Below are 21,087 nucleotides of genomic sequence, written 5' to 3' on the forward strand. Positions count from 1 at the left end.
ACTGTGGCTAAACGTGGTGAGACATTCTGGGTTGTGCTAAACTGGGTTACTCAAGGTTAGAATTTTTTTCCTCAACCCGGCTTCCCCAACCTTTTTCTCTATTTGTTTGTTTTTTGCCAGGACTACAAGTCTGAAAATTCAACCCTCCTCCCCGGTGCCAAGAACAGCCTGCAAGACTCCGTAAGTAGAAGCATTTTGCTGAACAGATTAGATTTTGAAACTACTTTTGCATCCTTTTCAGCCTCTTTGGTCTCCGTCATCAATCACCGGGAATGGTTTTTACCTGAAACTGATCTTGCTGGAGAATTAACTGGGTTTGAGGGGAATAAATTTTCCAGAGCACTTGCACAATTTCTATCACTTGGGCCGTATTCCCAGCCTCTGGTACATGGTGTGAGAGCTGTATTCTGTCCTCTAAAAAAGACCAGGCCCACTTGGTGGACAGATCCGGGGCACAGTGGTTGGTGACAAGGCTGCAAATTGGTCCCTCTGCGCCCTGGTGTGACGGCCCCAGGTTGTGGGAGCACGTGAAAGAAGTCGAATGTCATTGGGTTGTCTTCCTAGTAAGGACAGGAATGCTTACTGAGTGCTCTGGGGTCCTGCATCATGGCATTGGGCTTGGAGTCACTGGGGTACATAACCTGGGATGATGGCAGTGAATTCCCGTGTATCCCTCATCTGTCACCCACGAATAACAGTGGCCAGGAAGTTCCCTGCACAGATACTTCTGAAATCACTCATGCACCGCCTCTCGGCAATGCAATCATGGTGTGGTGCATTCCCCAAGTGTGACCTGTTTGTGTATTGTTGGTGACCTTGGGATGGCACCTTCAAGTGGCACACAGACTGTTGCTGTTTGGTATTCATCATTATGTATTTCATTTTATGATGATTTTCTCTTTATAGCCATCACTACTAGCTTTCCGTTAATGGCAGTGGTATGAAATTTCCTTCAAAAAAAGTTTAACATAAAGTGAGTTGACTCAAAGACAAAAAATGATATGGAAATAACAGAATGGAAATCGTAATGTAGGTATGGTGAGACATTGTGATAGTGGTAAGTGAAAGGCTGAGAGTAAATTCTTTTATCAAAAGATGTTCATGGCTAGGCCTAATGGATCACACCTATAATCCCAGCCCTTTGGGAGGCCAAGGTAAGAGGATTGCTTGAGCTCAGGAGTTGGAGACCAGCCTGGGCAACATCTCTACAAAAAATAAACAAATTAGGCCGGGCACGGTGGCTCACACCTGTAATCCCAGCACTTTGGGAGGCTGAGGTGGGCTGATCAAGAGGTCAGGAGATCGAGGCCATCCTGGATAACATGGTGAAACCCTGTCTCTACTAAAAATACAAAAAAAAAAAAAAAAAATTAGCCAGGCATGTTGTCAGGTGCCTGTAGTCCCAGCTACTCAGGAGGCTGAGGCAGGAGAATGGCATGAACCTGGGAGGCAGAGCTTGCAGTGAGCCAAGATCGCGCCACTGCACCCCAGCCTGGACGAGAGCGAGACTCCGTCTCAAAAAAATAAAAAAAAATAAAAAAAAAACAAAACCAAATTAGCTGAGCGTGGTGTTGTGCGCCTGCAGTCTCAGACACTCGGGAGGCTGAGGTGGGAGGATTGCTTGAGCCCAGGAGATGGAGGCTGCAGTGAGCTATGATTATGCCACTGCACTCCAGCCTGGGCAAACAGAGTAAGAGCCTGTCTCAAAAAAAAAAAAAAAAAAAAAAAGTCTGCTTGGCCCTGGGCCTTGTCCATGAGTGTGCTCTGTATTTGGAATGTTCCCTCCTCTTTATGCACCAAGCTATACTGACCCTTCGTGCAAACTGGAATCTCTAAGGGCCCACTGCTTGGTGTAAACTGGAATCTGTAAGGGCCCACTGCTTGGTGCTTGTCTATTCCCCCAAAATGACTTTCCAGGCTGGATTTTTATAATAAACCTCATTAATGGATCATCTGAAAGTAGTGTTTACCTGTGATGCCAAGAAGAAGAGGAAGAAGAGGAAAGGGATGATGAAAAATGACAACCACACACCCAACTTTCTTATCCCACTTTTCAGTTGACCAAATGTTTGATCTCTGTTCTTTTAACATCCTCTCAATGACTCCGTAAGGTGTGTGCTGTTTTTATCCTCATTTTGTGGCTTAGGAAACCAAAACTCAAAGTAATTGCCCATGGTCACACAGCCTGGACTTACCCTCTGACCCACCTGCATCAGTGGAGTACCAGGAGTCTTGCAGCTTCACATCAAGTCTGTGAAGTATTCTTCCCATTTTGGATAGATGGAAAAATGATGTATGAAGCACGAAAGTATTGTATTGGCTGTCTCTTGCCCGTGACAGTTACACTGAACTTAGTGACTTCTAACAGCAGACTTTCATTATCTCACAGTTTCTGTGGGTCAGGAATCTGGGAGTGGTTTGCTTGGTGGTCTGGCTCAGGGTCCCATGTGAGCTGGGGCTGCTGTCTTCTGAAGGCTGGAGTGGGGCTAGAGGGTCTGCACCCAAGGTGTTTCACCTAACAGCTATTGTCAGGAGGCCACAGAGCTGCTTGAGTGTCCTCAGGACATGGTGGATGGTGTCTGCCAGGGTGAGAGATCTGAGAGATTAAGAGCAAAGTAGAAGCCACATGGGAGGATGGGAGTGAATTCCTGTGTATCCCTTAGATGATGTAGCCTCAGATGTCCTATGCCATCGCCTCTGCTGTATTCGATCAGTCATACAACGGAATCCTCGGAAGACTGTGGGAGCATACCATACAAGGGCACGAGTACCTGGAGGAGGGATCATGCGGCCATCTTGGAGTTTGGCTACCACACTCTTCATAATCTTGAAATAACTATGTCTTGCAGTTCCACCCAGGATGCTTGTAATGTCACACTGAGTCTATGGAAAGAAAACAAAGATACTAAACACATTTTGCAGATGGGGAAATGAGGCGTGGAGCAGGAAAGTGACTTACTAAAGAGCCTTGATATTGGTGGCACAGAAGCTTTTGAAGGGAAAGTAGTTGAAAAAGTTAATTGCCCACAATAGGATCAAAGGTGTCTGAGATGGCTCCATTTCCCCAGTGCTTAGAATAGTGCCTATGCCTGCTAGATTTTTAGCTCTCTTGGGTTGGGTCAGGTATTTCCTGGCCCCCAACCTCACTCATGGAGGCTGATGTGTTCTCTCTAGTGGAAGGGATGATGGTATCCTGCTGGTTTCTCCTCTGGAGGCTGTAGAGTCTTCTAGGTTTGCAGAGATTCAGGCTGTGAGGATCCAGTTGCCTTAACCTGCTCCTCCATCTCCACCCTCTGACTGTAGCAGGGCTGCTGAGCTGGGTCCTTCTGGCTGGACTCTCACAGGTCAGCTTCCTGTCTTGCCTTGGAATGTGTCATGGGTAGAAGCAGTCATTTTGACGACCTCTACTGGAGGCAGCATATGTTGGCCTGACCATCTCTGGATGGCAGATTGCCTCACATTCACATGTGTCAAAATGTAAAATGTGTTCCATCTTTGGTCTAGCAATTACACTTCTGGGAATTTGCACCTTGGAGATGATTGTACAAGTGTGAGATGTGTTTGTATATTTATTAAGGAAATGATTGTAGTAGCACAAATAATTTTTAAAAAGATGTACCCTCAATATCCCTCAGTAAGGGATAGTTTAAGTCAATTGTGTATATCCATAAAGTCCAATTCCAAGCTGCTGCTAGGATTTTGTGGTGAGGATTTATGTTTATTGACTTGGAAAGATGCACATGACATACTGTTGAGTGAGAAATACAGCCTGTATTATATGATTCCAATTGTGTGCAAACTGTATTCATAGATCTCCCTTTCTCTGAGTGCAGAGAGATGTCAGAAAGGCAGATGGAAAGTTCAACTAAATTACTGGTTTTTGCATTTTCCTTTAGACCCTTTTATTTTTTTTCTATAGTGAGCAGTTATTTTCTTTGACAGTGGTAGTAATAATATAATATTAGTAATAATGTAGTTGTAATAAATGTAATATAGTAAGAAGCAGTAGTAGTAATAGTAGTAATAATGTAGTTGTAATAATAGTACTAATACTAGTAATAGTAATAACTATTTATGAAATTAAGCAGTGTGTTCTGGACTGTTAAGAAGGTTTTCCAGGAGAGCTGACGGCATATTCGTTCAAGTTTCATTCTCAGTTGTCATGGAAATGCTGTGTCGTTCCTCTAGAGGAGTGAAAATGGGGTTTACAAGACTAAATGTGGCCTTTAGATAGACTTTTTGGTCCTTGCCTGCTCCAGAATGCAGAACACTCCAGGCCATGGCATCTCACCGCCCTTCCTACTCACTGCCCTGTGGCACCAGTCAGCTCTACTTTTTCTGACCTCCACCTGTCTGCTTTGGCACTGTCTCCCAGAAAGGGCTTTCCCTGGATGCAGAAAGTATATTTTGCCAGCATTCAGAATAAAATAATCATAACAGCTAGCATCTTTGGGAACTAGGAAGTACCTGGCATTGCACCCACCATTTCACAGGCATTGTATCTTTCTCTACCCAGAGTAGTCCAAGGAGGGAAGACCTATTCAAACTATTTGTTTACAAATGGGGAAACTGAGGCTCAGAAGGGCATGGCTTGCACAGTCTCATAGCTAATGGGGAAGCAGTCTGAAATTCAGACCCAGATTGGGCTGTTTCCCATGCTGCATTGAGCTGAGGGGAAGGCCAGCAGGTTCTTTTTGGTGATGCAGGGAGCATTTCTGGGAACCTGTGTCTTAGATGCAAAGTTAATTCCAGAGTCATCAGGTAACATAAAAATTACACCTGGTCAATTACTTGTGCAAGTCCTGTTGGAGACCAATCTTTCTGCCCCTCGATACATCAAATACAGCCACACTTTCCTTGATTATTAGAAAAAATGAGGGTCTTTGCTTAGATGCCAGATGAAGTGATTGTGTTGAGGTGGCATGGTGGATGAATGAAACATACCTGTCTTTAAACATTGCAGTCATCTGTGATCATGTGGCCACAAGATGGAGAGGCACTTGGGAATGAGACTGAGAAACTTGCAGGTACATGTTTCCTTTTGGGTTCACTCTGGAGCAAATGCATCCTGAACTCGTGGAAGTGATGCTGTCCAGCGTAAGAACCGCACTATTATTTTTTCTCTCTTTCTTGATATAGTAGAAACTATACCCTCCTATACCCAAGGCAGACATTACTAAGCAATGGTGTCATTCTCCCCTCCTATACCCAAGGCAGACATTAGTAATCAATGGTGCCATTCCCCCCTTCTATACTCCAGGCAGACATTACTAATCAATGGTGTCACTCTCCCCTTCTATAGCCAAGGCAGTAAGCATAGTGCAGTTAAGTGGAAGAACCCAAATTTTTACTTTGTTCTGCCTCATTCCAGAGCCATATTTCAAAACCCCTGTATTTTTCTGTAATAAGAATACAAAAAATTCATTTTTTATGCGTGCTTAAGAGACTAAGTGGCTTCAAACAACACCTGTCTACCATCTTATTGCTTCGATTGGTCATAGGTCTGGACACAGCTGAACTGGGTTCTCTGCTTAGGTTCTCACCAAGCTGCAGGCAAGGGAGTTGGCAGGAGCTGGGAGTTTCATCTGGAGCTCAGGGTCCCTTTGCAATCTCACTGGTTGTTGGAATAATTCAATTTCTTGTGGCTGTAAGATGCAGGCCCTCAGACCCTAGAGGCCACCTACGGTTCCCTGCCACATGGCCCTCTCCACAGGCAGTTTACAATGTGACAGTGTGCTTTTCCCGGGAGTGTCTCTCTAGTGCATGTTAGCAACATGGAGTCTTGTGTACACATGTCCCAACATAATCATGGCATGCCCATCATCTTTTCTATTGGTTAGAAGTAACTCGTGGGTCCTGCCTACATGCTACTGATCATGGGGCCGCACTGAGGTCTGTCCATGCTGATACAGTCCCGAGATGAGTCTGGATTTCTCCTCTTCTTGGGGCCAAGTGTGCTGCTATTTCTCTCCAGCATTTTCCCTTTTTCTTGCAGAAAAGGGGCTCATGGGCCCCCCGGGAACCAGACCACTTCAGTGTTTGACCCTCCAGACTTCCTTATCCCCTAGTCATCTGGACGTCTTAACTTCCTGCCCATGTCACCTCTGTAGGACGTCCCCTGCTGCAGTCTCAGCAAATGAATATTTGATGGAATGCTGCCACCTTTTGGAATTTAGCAAAAGTGATCTGTGTTGTTCAGAGGGATGGAAGTGAAACTCCTGTTCCCTTCTCTACAGCCCGCGCACACACACCCACTCACCCGGCCTTCATTTCCGCTGAGCATTGACTCAGGTTTGACGCCAGTTTGAGGCAGGTTTGCTTGTCCTTTCTGCTCTGGCTTCTAGTTGCTGTGAGTGGTGACAGGCTTGTTCCCTGTTTTACCCTCCAAGGTGCAGCAGAATGTTGAAGAAAGAGATGGGGCAGATTGGACTGGATTTCATCTCTGATTCCACCACCAACTCTCCAAGGACTTTGGCTTCCGTGTCTGTGAAATGAGGGTTTCTCAGGCTCTTTCTGCTCTCACGTCCCTGATCCCAGGTTATGATGCCTGTAACCATGTATGGAGAGTAGGTAACACCTCATTTATAGACGGCAGTCAGATGGGAGTGGAGGTTAGACCCAGTCCCAGGTCAAGGATGCCAAGGCTATATCTGTACTCAGTAGGGAAGAGTGGTGCCATTGATGAGTAATAGGAGGGGACAGTGGTGCCACTGATGATTAATGATTAATGTCTGCCTTTGGTATAGGAGGGCAGAGTGGTGCCATTGATTAGTAATGTCTGCCATGGGTCTGGGAGGGGAGAGTGGTGCCACTGATGAGTAATGTCTGCCTTGGGTCTAGGAGGGGAGAGTGGTGCCATTGATGAGTAAGTCTGCCTTGAGTCTAGGAGGGGAGAGTGTTGTCCTTGATGAGTAATGTCTACCTCAGGTCTAGGAGGGGAGAGTAGGGCCATTAATTTAATAATGTCTGCCTTGGGTACAGGAATGGAGAGTGGCACCATTGATTAGTAATGTCTTCCTTGGTATAGGCGAGAAGAATGGTACTCTTGAATGGTAATGTCTGCCTTGAGAACAGGAGGGGAGAGTGCCAACACAGATGCTGTCCCAACTCCAGGTGTCTCATAGAGACTTGTAGCAGCCATCATGGAACCCATAAGCTGGCCCACCTTTCCCATTGCTTCTCTTTCTGTATATTCACAGGCATAGCTTTCCTCCCTCTTCCCTGGCATCCTTGGCATTTTCCTGTCTTACTCTCAATCTGAAGTTAGCAGAGGTTGCCCGTGGCATGTCTCTAGTTGACCCACTGTCTGATCAGTTCACTTGCTGAACCATGGCTCCTCCTTTCTGACATATTTCAGCAGCTCTCTGTGATGTGAGAGTAGAGAGCAAGGTCCTGTGATTTCATACTTGGCATTGGGATACTATCTGGTGGCTTCTCCAACCTTATCTGCTACTCTCCTCCCACCCTGTCCTCCAGTGTCCATGCCCCATGTTCCCTGACTGCAGACCTTTGCTTAGGCTATCCTTTCTGCTTGAATTCTCCCCTCAGATCTGACCATCCAAATTCCTAACCATTCATCCATAGTCATCAGAAAAGCCTTGTTCAGAGATTCTTCCTAAGTCACTCTGGTTGTGTTGCTCTCCAACCACAAAATGCCCTCCACCCTCATTCCTCCCTCCCTTCCTTCCTCACCTTCTCTCTCACTCACCTCCTCTCTCCCTCACTTCTCATCTCTTCCTCATTCCACCCCCAACTCCCTAAATTATATCACAGTCACTGCTAAGAGTTGGAAGGTATGCATATGAATAAGACTCAAACCGTGCCCTCAAAGCGCTTGCAGTCTGTGAGGAGGACACAGGATGAATAAGAAGTAGCCCATAACTGAGGCACAATCTGATTGCTTTGTAGTGTAGGAAGAATATAAAGTTGAGTGGTAGTGCAAACAGGTAGGGAAGGCTTCACAGAGGAGGTGATACATAGAGTCTTGAAGGACAAGTGGGAGTCGTAACACTGATTGCAGGAGATGGGGGGCTCCAGGTAGAAGGAACAGAATCATCAGAAACATGGGCATGAACTTGGGTCTGTTATAGTCTGGAAGAGGGGATGTCAGGGGTTGGCGGGAGAAGCAGGCATGCCCCAGTGCTCCATAGTAGTTAAGAAATTGAGTTTTTGCTGTGATCAGTGTGTGGCCACTGAAAGGTTTTAAGCTGGTGATTGTCTGGATCCAATTTGCATTTTAGAAAGATCTCCCTGGGACCTGGCTTAGGAGGCTGGGAGGCCTTGGTCCCTCCTGGGCATTTTTCACTATGTCTCCTCACTGGAGTGGGCTGGGGAGCAGAGGGGTCACCAGCTCTACGCCCAGACTCCTGGGCACGCTCTACTTCTCACTGCTAATGTGCCTTCTACAGCGTCTGCTCGGCAGAAAACCAAGTGTGCGGACGAGATAACGGCATTAGGAGCAGGAGGACAAAGCTGATACTCGGGGCAGTGAGACATGGAGGCTTAAATTCTTTCCCTTCAAAATATCACCCGTGATGTTGGCCACATGGTTCTGATTAAAGGAAGTTGGACTTGCTGGGACGAAATGCTAAGTGGCACTCTTGACCTCAGGCACAGATAGCGCAGGGTCTGCCATTTCTCTCTGTTGCTTTCTGCCAGATAAGAGGGGAAATCTATTTAGTGATTTCCCCTAATCTCTGAGGATGGCTGTGCCCCCTGGAGTCACGGTGATGATACTGACGGGTTTCAATGTTGGCATTGAACTACGGATGGGGAGTGAAGGTCTTTTCTCCTTCCTATCTCCTGATGGGGTGCCTAAAATACAGTAGGTGCTTAGTAAGGCTTGTTCTTGAAATGAGTGAATGAAAGTGTCAGCTCTGTTGATGTAAACTGTCCCAGAAGGCTCCCTCATACTTCTCTCTGTCGACACTACCTGCCCCAATCTGAGGTCACTGCCTTTCCAATTCCACTGGGCTCATTTCTGAAATCTCTATAAATGGACCCCTGCAGTCCATATGTATCTGCCTTCTTTCCCTCAAAAGCATCCCTAGGAGAATCACCTATGCTACTGTATGTACCACTAGCTACTCTTTTTAATGGCTGGACAGGATTTCATTGTATGATTGGACCATAATGTATCCATTCTCCCATGGATGAGCATTGGGGTTGTTTGTAGTTTGGGGCTATGTGCACTCGTGCACCTGTTGTTTGGTGGACGCAGGTACTCATTTATCTGGGGAATATACCTAGGAGTGTGTCTCTTTGGTCACAGAATAGGCACATGTTTAATTTGAGTAGCTACTGTCCAAAAGTTGCCCAAAGTGGTTGTTCCAGTGCTCATTCCCACCAGCAATGACTATGAATCCCACTTGGAAGCTCATTGTCTGAGCGCATACCTTGTGAATTGTCATAACACCCCGGGGGCAAGTGTGGTTGTTGTTACCCTCACTTCACGGAGGGGCACTTTGAGTCTCAGCTGACTGGGTCAGTGTTGCAAGGGTGTAGGACGGGAACCAAGGGCTCTGTTTCCGTAACAGCAGCAGCCGTCTGAGCAGTCATAGCATACCATGATTCTGGGAAGCTCTGGAGGTGTGAGGGTCCACACGTGGCCACATGATGAAGGGGCAATATGGCAAAGTGGTTCTGTGCATGGCTGGGAACCAGGCTGCAGCCTTGAGTCCCAGCCCTGCCACCTATTTGTTGTGGAAGCCTGGGCCAGTGGCTTGACTTCTCTGTGCCTGTAACTTTTCTCATCTGTAACACAGAGTTGATAAATCAAATTGTTATGAGGATTCAACGAGTTAATATAGGTAAAGCCTTAGGAGAGAGCACTAGAGAAGGTTTAATTATTATTATTGATTATTTCAGCTCTGTCCAGTTTGAGTGCTGGAGTTGTCTGTTACAAGGCTGCAAGCCCTGTAATAGTTGTAGGGCTAACAGTTGTGAGATACACTGCTTAACTCTCCCTCCCATCCCCTATCCTCTGAAGGTAGCTGGCTTTCCTGATGTAATCCAGAATCTAATTTTGAGCCCAGATCATTGGTTTCACAAAGCCTGTTGGGGTGCAGTCCGAGTGGTCCCTTCTGAAATGCATCTCTGCTCTTTAGTGCCCCTAATAAGAAATGCAGTCTGTTTGCTCAAGGTTTTACCCTTTACAGAAATGGTCAGACTCCTTTCTTCCCCCCATATCCATTTCGCCAATCCATGCCAAATATTGATGTTTGATAACTACAAATATCACACATAGCTTTTAATCAAGAAAGACGGAAGGAAGATAAGGGGAGCAAATACATCTCTGTAAGGGAGTTCAATATTCTCAGTAATGATTTTGCTAAGAAATAAAATTATTGGAGGGAGGGGAGAGGGCTCTGTGCTGTGTATCGAAATGGGCCGAACCACCTGAAACTACCTGGGGCCTTCTTCCAAACTCCCATGGCTTGCTTTTAAGTTATGTATTCATTACCCGAATTGGTAGATGCTATCTCATTTTACAGAAAGGAGAGCTGTATTTTAAATGTGAATTTCCAATACGCCATCAGTCTATCCCATTACCAGCAAAACCCATCCAGCCATCTTACATTCTCTGTCGCTTGTCTGAGACAGGAGTGGAATGTGAATGCCTGTCACCTTCCACTCTAGGGAAAAGTCAGCCTGCTGGGGGCAGAGGAGAGGTCAGCTTCCAGGCTTTTATTCAAGAAGGCTATTTCCTTCTTGTGGAGACAAAGGGCAGGATCGTCCTGGAGTAGTGGCAGGTGTCAAGCATGTAGAGATGTCCACCGTGTCAGCGAAGGTTGACCCAGCGTCACTCCAGGCCAGAGCCTGGCCAAACCAAATGGGACCCTGTGACCTGCATCCAAACCCTCATGTACAAGGCAGCCCCCAGTGTCCTGGTACCTTTCAGCTTGACTGTTTTTCATGGTCCTCATGCCTTGTGTCCTTTACACATGCTGTTCCCCTGACCACAAATGCTTTTCCCTAAGACTTGTTAATCTCATAATATTTTTTATCGGCCACCTACTTTGTGCAGAGCACTGTTCTAGGAGCTGCGGAGAGGGTAGGTGGGGGTGGGGAGCAGAGGACTGTGCAGAGACGGTGGGGGCGGGGTGGAAGACAAAACCGACATCAGCATAATTTGTACTCTTACCCTCTTTGAGTTTTTATTCAAATATTATCTTCTCTGCAACGTTTTCCTTGATGGCTTTATTTAAATGTCTAAGCCCTGCTTAGCACCCTTCTTCTTTTCTTTGCTTTGATGCTCACACAACACTGAGCACCACCCTCTGACATCCAGTGTATTTTACTTACTTGCCGGCTTGCTGTACCTCCTGCCACTGGGAGGGCAGGGAGTTTTCTGAATTTCCAATATGCCAGCAGTCTGTCCCGTTACCATCAGTCTGTCCCATTACCAGTGTTTTGCTCATTCTTGTATCCCCAGCACCTATGCCTGTGCCTGCATGTAATAGACTCTCAGTCGCTACTTGTTGAAAGACTAGTGAGCAGCTGCTGTACACTCGCTATGTACTAGGCCCATGTTTTATTCACATAGCTTCATGTGATTGTCAGAGTGTCTCACGGGGTTCTGTTGTCCCCGTTTAACAGAAGAGCAAGTTGATGCCTCGTGAGGCAAGGGAACTTCCCAAGGTCACACAGCTAGGAAAGGGAACAGGGACATGGGTATAGGCAGGATGGCGGTTTACCTAAAACTGTGGTCTTGGCAGGGGTATTAAAAACACCGCAACGTACAAAGTTGAAAAGTAAAAATTAGGCTGGGCACAGTGGCTTATGCTGTTAATCCCAGTGCTTTGGAGGTTGAGGCAGGAGGTCGGTTGAGGCAGGAGGTCAGTTCAGGCCAGGAGTTTGAGATCAGCCTGGGAAACATAGGGATACTTTGTCTCTATAAAATCAGAAAATTAAAAAAAAATTATTTTAAAATTAAAAATTTAATGGCGTGGTAGCACATGTCTTCAGTCCCAGCCACTCCAGAGGCTGAGGTGGGAGGATCGCTTGAGCCCAGGAGATTGAGGCTGCAGTAAGCTATGATTGCAGCACTGCACTCCAGCCTGGGTGACAGAGCAAGACCCTATCTGTCAAAAGATAAAAATAAAAATAAATAAAAATCAGATCCCTCTAGTCCCTGGCTGGCTGAGCATTTTAACACTCAAGTTGTGGGCTGTGGTTCTCAGGCTAAAATCCAAACTCCTTGACACAGCTTACAGAGCATCCTACGATGTGGCCTCTGTGTCTCTCTACAGCCTAGTCTGTTTCCATATCTCCCCAGCAGACAACTAGAGCATCATCCACATCCTTAGGTGTGGCGTGCTTTCTCTCTGACCCACATGTGCTCTGTTGGCAACATCTCCATCCCGAATCCACCCAGTCTCCCTGCCTGCCTTCCCCTGAAATCTTGGGTTCATCTTTAAGGTACTGCCTTACCTAGGGCAGGTTCTTACTCACCTGTCTGGGTTGGTTTGGCAGTGGGTTTCATGGACCCCAGGCTCCACTTACTTCCTTCATCAAAGTGTCGATCACTCTGTATTCTAATTTGTTCTCTCATCTCCTTTCTCATTTCTGACACATCTAGTTTGACAGCTCACTGCAACCCCAGCATCACCTCAGTGCCTGCACGTGTAAGAGCACAGAAAGCCTAACAGAACGAATGAATGACTTGGTGGACCTGCCTCCCTACCAGCGTTGTTGCTGCTGTGTTCCTTGGCTCCTACACTGGCTTTTCTCTTCTTCAGTAGCCTTTTGCTTTGCACTTCTGTGTACTCAACTTCTTTCAACTGATAAAAATGATCAATTTTATAAACCAGTATCAACAAAAACTAGTGATTCACCTATCCATCTGTTCATCCAGCCACTCTCCTATCCATCCCTCCATCTACTCTCTCATCCATCCATCCACCCACTCCCCCACCCACTCTCCCATCCATCCATCTATCCATCCATCCATCCATCCATCCATCCATTCACCCTTCTTTTCAGTCTCCCATCCATCCATCCATCCATCCATCCACCCACCCACCCACCCACCCACCCATTCATCTACTCTCCCGTCACTCAGCTACTGTGTGCAGTAGCTCATATCTGTAATCCCTGCACTTTGTAAGGCCAAGGGAGGAGGATCACTTGAGGACAGCAATTAGACAAGCCTGGGCAACACAGTGAGACCCCATCTGTACAAAAAATAAAATAAAAACAGCCAGATGTAGTAGCATGCACCTGTGGTCCCAGCTACTTGGGAGGCTGGGATGGAAATATTACTTGATCCATCTCTCCATCTAGTCTCCCACCCACCTACTCTCCCATCCATCCCATTCATTCATTCATTCATTCATCTACTCTCCCATAATTCCTCCCATCCATACGTCTACTCTCCCACCTACCCACCCATTCTCCCACCCATCCATTCATTCATTCTCCCCTCCACTCTCATTCATTCATTCATTCATCTACTCTCCCATCAGTTCTCCCATCCATCCATCTACTCTCCCAGTCACTCTCCCATCCACCCACCCACCCACTTTCCCATCTACTCATCCACCTATCCACCACTCCATCTGTCCATCCATGCAATATTGGGAAGCCACCATGTGCCAGGTCCTGTGAAGCTGCTAAGGTTATAGTGACAAGCCAAGACACACTAGGACCCCCCCTCTGTGGGTCTACAGTTTAGTGAGACAGAGATTGAGCAGATACTCATACAAAAGTATATCTACAAATGAAGAAAAGTGCTTCACAAGGTAGATAATGGCTCTGAGAAAGGTTTTTATAATAAAACCGGGCATACATGGTGGATATGTCTGGGGTTTTCCCAGGAGGAGGCTCATGAACTGAGCTCTCAAGGCCACAGGGCAAGGTCAGGCGAGAATAGAGCATTCTAGACAGAGGAAATAGCATGTGCAAAGGCCCTGTGGCCAGAGGAGTTTTAGGAACTGCTAAAAGATAGCCAGAGTAGCTGGAGTTCAGGGAGGAGGAGCATTCCAGTGAGGCCAGGCCGTGGTGAGGATGCTGGTCTTTAACCCTAAGCATTGAAGACCTCAGTGCCACCATGAGGCAGAAACCTAGCTAGGCACTCATCATTTGGGGTTCTTTTTCCTAACGAGGTCTCCTAAATTGACCTAGGCTCATGTCCCACAAAACATGGATCTGGCCCCTTCCTGGCACATAGAAAGGACTCAATCCACAGTGGCTGACCAGCAAGGTAGAATGGACTCCATTTTACAGATGACAAGACTGAAGCTCAGGGGCCCATGAGAATGGGACTAAGGCTAGGGGAGGGCCCTGATGGGTTTTCAAGGAGGTGATTGGATTTGCATTTTGTGAAGATTCCTCAGGTTTCTTTGAGGGGCCTCAGTTGGAGCAGGGGACAGAATCACAGGGGTACCAAGACGGGAAACAGTTGTTGACATGGACAAATCTTCCTTCAGGCTTCAGAAGAACCTCCCCACACCCAACATGTGGGTGGACATCCTTCAAGGCTCAGAACACACATATGCCTGCAGTATCTCTGCATTTGCACAGTTGAGGGTGGGTTCCCCAATATAAGCCTACCAGGTTCTTGACAGAGGGAGGGTAAGTAGACATATTTCTGTACGTGGGTGCAACGTTACCCTCACCTGCATCCCATATATGTAGGGATCTTCCACTTGCTTTCATATCTGCTGATGGCACAGGGTTGCAGCCCTGATTATGGCTCCCAGAAGCTGAGATTTGTGGTCTAAAACTGAGGGCAGAGGGGAATGAGAGAGTCATACTCCAAGTGAAATTTTCCTTTCTCATTATCTGTGAGCTGATAAAGACGCCAGCATGTCAAGTTCATTTGATGGACAAATTCAGACCATCATTTCATGGGGGGAGGCAGTCCAGTACCAGGACCATATTGGGGTCATGTTTATGGGGCCAGGTTCCATCACTGAGTGGAAAGCTCACAAAAGCAGTTGATGCCTGAGGGCTTCTTTGCACATCTCCAAGTTCAAGGTTCTGTCATCCTTGTTTAACTCCCCAAATCAAGGTAGATGGGGTTTTTTTTTTTCTTCCCCAGCCAGCATCCGAAGACTGGATTCTATGGATGAGCATAGAAGTCCCTCTTTCTTCTCTGACTCCTTCATCTCCCATTTTCCTCCTGTAGAATTTCCTTGGACTTTTTTTTTTTTTTTATCCTGATGCTGCCTTTCAGGGTCCCAGCTCTTTGACCTAGGTCAGTTCCCTCCACTTCTCTCAATGGGGCTGTGGAGGGAGTGTCAAATTCTGTAGGAACACTGAGAAAGAAGCCCAGCCTTTTTCTCGCTAAGAATGGCCACCTTTTTATAGGAATGATGCCCACCTGGTCTCAATTCTGTCTTAGACTCCCTCTAGGTTGGGAGGTGCGGATCAGGTGGTTGGGGGATCCTGTCCTGTCACGTACAGCCTGAGCCTGACATTTTTTTTCCCTCTACAACTGAGACTGCAGACATTTTTAAACTAGAAGAAAACAAATTTGCACATGGACTAAACAGAAACTTCATTTCCCCCTAGGTCTCTCCTGGGGACTACGCAGGAGGGCTCTGGGCCAGTGGGGAGAATCTTCAATGCAACTTTCATCTCTGGTTATCCTCCCTGAGTCCATGGGGATTTCATAAACATTATGTTGCTCAATTTCAGTTCACTGGCACAGAGTCGTTCCAATGTGTTCTAATTACTCAGACATAAATGATTTCTGGTGCACTTTAAATGACTTCGGATGCACTTTTGTCTATCAGGCTCCTGATTTGTCACTCCCTGGGACTTTGATGTTGTGCTTCATTGATTTCTTTTAAGGCTCTTCAGAGGTATATTTATTATAGACGATACATCTCCCTGTTCATTTGCTCCATAATTCTGAAACACTTTCATTTTCCAGTTGTCAACATTCCACCCCTACCCCCTGTACATATCTTGTACTAGCAGGAAGAAGACACATTTATTGAGTGCTTACTGAATGCAAATCTAGATGCGAGATGCTATGGGTGAGTGAAGGTGCACAAATTAAAAACAAAAACATCCGACATTCATTCCTGGCCAAGATAATATGCTTATCGTTTAGAGAAAAGGACAGTGCACACCCGTTGACTTACATGACATGACAGAGGAGGAAGAACACAGGGAGGGTGGGGGTTTGGTCCATGAGCTGTGAGAGGTACTTGGAAGAGAAGAGTGATGAGAGATGGGTGGGGTCAGAGCTTTGCACCCAGATTTCCATGATGATGGGCAACAGAAAGTGTGTAGCATTCAGCTCAGTTTTGTTTGTTTTTGAGATGGGGTTTCACTCTGTTACCCAGGCTGGCATGCAGTGGTGCCGTCATAGCTCACTGCAGCCTTGAACTCCTGGGCTTAAGTGATATTTCCATCCCAGCCTCCCAAGTAGCTGGAACTACAGGTGCATGCTCCCACATCTGGCTATCTTCATTTTTGTACAGATGGAGTCTCACTATGTTGCCCAGGCTTGTCTCTAATTCCTGGACTCAATTGATCCTCCTGCCTTGGCCTCCCAAAGCACTGGGATTACAGAAAGGAGCCACTGCACCCAGCAGCTGAGTTTTTTTGACAAGCTAAGAGGCAAAGCTGCCACTTTTTGATGTGTGCTTGATAGACCCTAGAGCTTCGAAGAGTGAGTGGTGTGTACTGCTCAAGTCTACTTGCTCTGAAGACAGCTACGTTTATCTGAACAGGCACCTTATTAGCCTTTAGCCTCTCCCCATAGACATGAGGACAGGAGGGACATTGGAGTGGTATTTTGACAAGGCAGCTGGCTGCCAATCTGAAGATGTGGTGGGAGTCCCAGCTCCGTCCTGTTCCCATAGGTCCTTGAACCTCAGTCTTGTCATCTGCAAAATGGAGGCCATCCTATCTTGCTGGTCAGCCACTTTGGATCGAGCCGTTTCTATGTGTCAAGAAGGGGGCAGATCCACATTTTGTGGGACCTGAGCCTGGATCAACTTGGGGGACCCCGTTAGGAAAAAGGACCCCAGATGATGAGTGCCTATCTGGGTTTCTGCCCCATGATGGGAGCCCACCAGTGTTAGCAATGGGGTCTTCAATGCTTTTTTAAGCTGTGGACTTTTTTTTCTCCCCAATTATTTGTGGCACCGCTGTTCAGTGCTTAAAACGGGTCACAGTGGAGCTTCTGTTAATGGGAACGCTTCTTTCCCCTCTGAAGTTGGGCTGAGAGGCGTCTCCAGGAAGCATGGTTTGAACCTGAACCGTCTGTTGTGGTCAAGATCAGATCTGAACCCAGAGCTCTTCTCCACTCCCCTCCCTGCTCCGGGGTCTCTCTGGGAGCACCTGTAAGCTAAGCCCTGACCTGCAAGGGACAGTGTGGACCTACTTCGCGGGCAGACCGTGGTGACAGTTCTTGCTCCCTCAGGCTGCTCTGCCGTCCCCTGGGCTGGCTTAACGGTCCATCTGTGAAAGGACCTTCGGCTTCCTGGAACCCCAGCACCACCCTCTGCCTCCCGCGGCTGGAAACCTGGGAAGGAAGTAAGGCGCACACGCCACCTGGTGGCCGCTTCCTGGAGCTGTCACTCCGGACACCGCCCCTGGGAGGGAGCTCATCTCTGGGCCCAGCTTGTCTGCGGTGCTGGCCAGCGAGGTCCAGGCGCTGCTCCTGAGAGCCTTGGCTCAGAGGAGCATCTGGCTTGTTAGAGCAGGAGGTTCTTGTGTCACAGTGCCCTTGATTTTCCCACTGAACTGCTGCCACCGTGAATACGAGCTCTTGGAGATGCCGCTGTCTGCCCTCTTCCCTTTCCTCTCCCTCCTCCTCCTCCTCTTCCCTCTCCCTTCTCCCTCTCCCTCCTCCTCCTCCTCTTCCCTCTCTCTTCTCTCTCTCCCTCCTCCTCCTCACCCCTCCTCCTCTGCTTCCTCCCCCTCATCCTCCCCTTTATCTTCCGCCCCCTGATTGCTATTGTCCTCCCCACCTCTTTCTGTCCCTCTCCTCCTCCTGTCCCTTCTCCCTCTCCTGTCCCCCCTTCTCCCCTATTTTCCTCCTCTTTCTCCTTCTCCTCTCTTCCCCCTCCTCCATCCTCTTCTTTCTCTTTCTTCTCCTCCTTTGCTCCTCATCCTCCCTTCCCCACCCCTCCCCTTCCTCCTTTCTCCCCTGCCTCTTTTTCCACCCCCTCACTTTGGCTCAGCCAGCTTTCTTTTAATTAAATAGATACTTATTGGCAGTACCCTTATTTGTTCCAAGTGAAACTGGCCGGAGGGCAGTTCCTGAGTTAGAGACTAGATCATGAGTCCCAGCTGCGGTTGCTGAGGGGTTGAAATTTCCCTCAGATCTAGCCATCCATTCCCTCCCTCACTCCCTCCTTCCCTCCCTCCGTCCGTCCCTCCCTCCCTCATTCATTCATGAATGCACGCACAGATTTAACAAATGCATTTTGAGGCTCTGTGCCAACATCCCCTCACTTCCGACTTTGACCCCAGAATCTTTAGCACATGGCATTCCTCTAACTTCCCTACCTGGAAAGCTCCCATTCACTTTGAAGACTCAGGTTCAATGCTGCCCTTCGGACTAGCCTGTGAGCACTTATTCCTGCTACCCATGGTCCTGAGGTCTTCACGAGTTTTCTGGCTCAGTCTTCTCTGGTTCCCATCCCGGGTGCTCAGCAGTCAAAGCCAGCCTTGCACTGAGTCAAAAACCCCAGAAGCTGTTTCTGTCTGCCTGGGACTCTGTGTTCTCCAATCATCAGGCTTGTTCCCCTCCTTTAAGGGTGTCCTGTACACAGTAGCGTCCATTGAAGTCCAGAAATGCTAGCACAGCATTGTGGAAAAAGACAGGTGCATATGTCTTCTGCATTCTTTGGGTTTTGCCAATCTTACTGTAATCAAGCTGTCTTTATTCTCAGGTATTCAGTGAAAATGAGTTGTTTCTGAGGACTATACCCTGGAAAGCTAGTGTTTTTTCTGTCTTGTCTTTATTTCTGTCTCTCCATATTCCTAAGCTAATGCTGTGAACGGGAAAAACAAGGTTTGCTCTTTGATTTGTTGCAGAGCCCAGGTCAGGTAGCCATTTATATTTAATAGAAGAATAGATGATGAGAGTGTCTCTCCTTCCCCTAGGCAGCATTTCCGAAGCTTATCTGTGACATTATGAAAGGTAACACTCTTACCTGGTATCTACTAGGAGGGTATTGTTCAAGCCATCAGTCTTTTGTTCAAGCTCTGGCATGCAGAAGGTACCCAGGAAATGGTTGGCAATTTTAAACATTGAGGTATAACTTACATAACATAAATTATACAAATCTGGAGTACACAACATTATGAATTTTTACATCTGTGTATCTCTGGATTACTACCACTCAGATCATGATGTAAAGTATTTTTATCTCCTGGAAGTCTTCCCACTGCCCGTCCACCAACAGCTCTCCCTACTCTGTCGTCTCTTTCCTTTGGTAAATTTTGTTCGTTTCTGAGAGTCATAGAGATGGAATCCTGACCTGATGCATACATCTGTTTCCTTTGCTGTGATGATGGCTGTGTGGGTATATGCATGAGTCCAGATTCATCCAATCATATACAGGAGATGGCTGCAGATTTTTTTTTTTTGTGTGTGTGTGTGTGTGACAGAGTCTCGCTCTGTCACCCAGGCTGCAGTGCAGTGGTGCGATCTCGGCTCACTGCAAGCTCCACCCACCAGGTTCACGCCATTCTCCTGCCTCAGCCTCCCAAGTAGCTGGGACTACAGGCGCCCGCCATCACGCCCAGCTAATTTTTTGTATTTTTAGTAGAGTTGGGGTTTCACCGTGTTAGCCAGGATGTTCTCGATCTCCTGACCCTGTGATCTGCCTGCCTCGGCCTCCCAAAGTGCTGGGATCACAGGCGTGAGCCATCGCGCCCAGCTGGCTGTAGATTTTTGTACGTAAGTTATACCTCAAAAAAACTGTTTTAAAAGAAAGAAATGCCCATGAACACCATCCATCCCTTTGAAATTCTCATTTTGGGTCAGGTTGAAGCCAGCTCAGGAAGGTAAATCAGGTTAGTTTCTGTTGGAGAGTTTGCTTTTACTTAAAAGCGTTAAAAGGCAACCTTCAATGTGGATTTTGCTGTGTCTGGATACCAGTGGGTGTCAGATCCAGAACCCAGCTTCCTGTTGCTGCTGGGCAGGATCATGGGATCTGGAGAGCTCCAGGTAGGGCAGATGACTTTGGGTAGCTGATGGGTGCCGGCTCCTCCCAGCCGGCATCCTTTGCTCCGGTGGTTCCAGGGAGGCCAGGCTATTTAGGAGGAATGTGGCTGTTGCCCCTGGACAGGACAAAATGTCTAGTCTATTCACAGTCACCGTAGTTTGTGCCTGATTTGCAGTGCTGGAGGAACCACATGGGAAAATTGTCCATTTTACAAGACGTGCAAAGGGGTTACCTGTGAGGCCTCAGCTCTAAGGCTATGTTCGTTCTTAAAAAACAGTGTTGGCCCCACTCTCTTCCCACTAAGGAGTGTGTAGGGTGCTGACAGACAGGCCTCCCGGGCTCCAGCCACCTTGGCTGCAAACATCATTATGGAACTCTGACCCTGGAACGGAGGGCCTGAGTTCCTTGGCAGATAGTGCCCAGGGACGGGCATGTTCAACATGAGATTAACAGGCTCTGCAGGGAGGCCCAGAGACCTGGGGCTGGGACTAGATTGCTTTGCAAGGTAAGCTCTTGATTTTATGACCTCATCTCTCGCCCCAACCCCGAGACTTCACTCACAATCCAGGTTGTTAACAGGGAGCGATCTTATCCTGTTAGCCTTTCACTCGAGAGAAATTGGATTGAAAATCTCGCCAGACTGCCTCCGGACAGAGCTTTTCCATCAGCTGTGAGTGACCCTTGGGCAGGGAGAGTTGCTTTCCTTTACACACCATTAGCAGGTGGCAAAGAGGGGGGCCTGCATCTCTGCCCAGCTGTTGCCAGAAACTCTTGGAGAGGAGGCTCCACTGGGAGCTTGCTGCCTGACCCATGGTGAGACCTGAGTAAGCTGCTTCCCTTCTCTGTACTTGGGCTCACCTCTCTCTTCCATGTCCTTTCACTGAGTTTCCGTGAAGGCAGTCAGACCTGGGCAGGTCCCCTGGGGACATGGGGGCTCACTTCCTTC

The 21,087-nt window shown here is 47.5% G+C and overlaps 1 protein-coding gene and 1 long non-coding RNA gene across 5 annotated transcripts in view; one reads left to right on the top strand and one right to left on the bottom strand.

Moving 5' to 3' along the window:
• RBFOX1 (RNA binding fox-1 homolog 1) overlaps positions 1-21,087 on the top strand; it is a 2,473,620-nt gene that overhangs the window by 359,061 nt on the left and 2,093,472 nt on the right. For all 4 annotated transcript variants that reach the window (NM_001415887.1, NM_001415888.1, XM_017023318.3 and 1 more), the window contains one exon: positions 121-180. In NM_001415887.1, the coding sequence (NP_001402816.1) occupies positions 121-180 (60 nt within the window). The remainder of the gene's footprint in view (positions 1-120; positions 181-21,087) is intronic.
• LINC01570 (long intergenic non-protein coding RNA 1570) lies at positions 2,388-17,469 on the bottom strand. Its single transcript, NR_110902.1, has 3 exons — positions 17,345-17,469; positions 12,454-12,618; positions 2,388-2,883 (listed from the first exon to the last, which is right to left on the bottom strand). It is a non-coding gene; the product is annotated as a long intergenic non-protein coding RNA 1570 (long non-coding RNA).

Source organism: Homo sapiens, chromosome 16 (assembly GCF_000001405.40).
Source record: "Homo sapiens chromosome 16, GRCh38.p14 Primary Assembly".
NCBI lineage: Eukaryota > Metazoa > Chordata > Mammalia > Primates > Hominidae > Homo > Homo sapiens.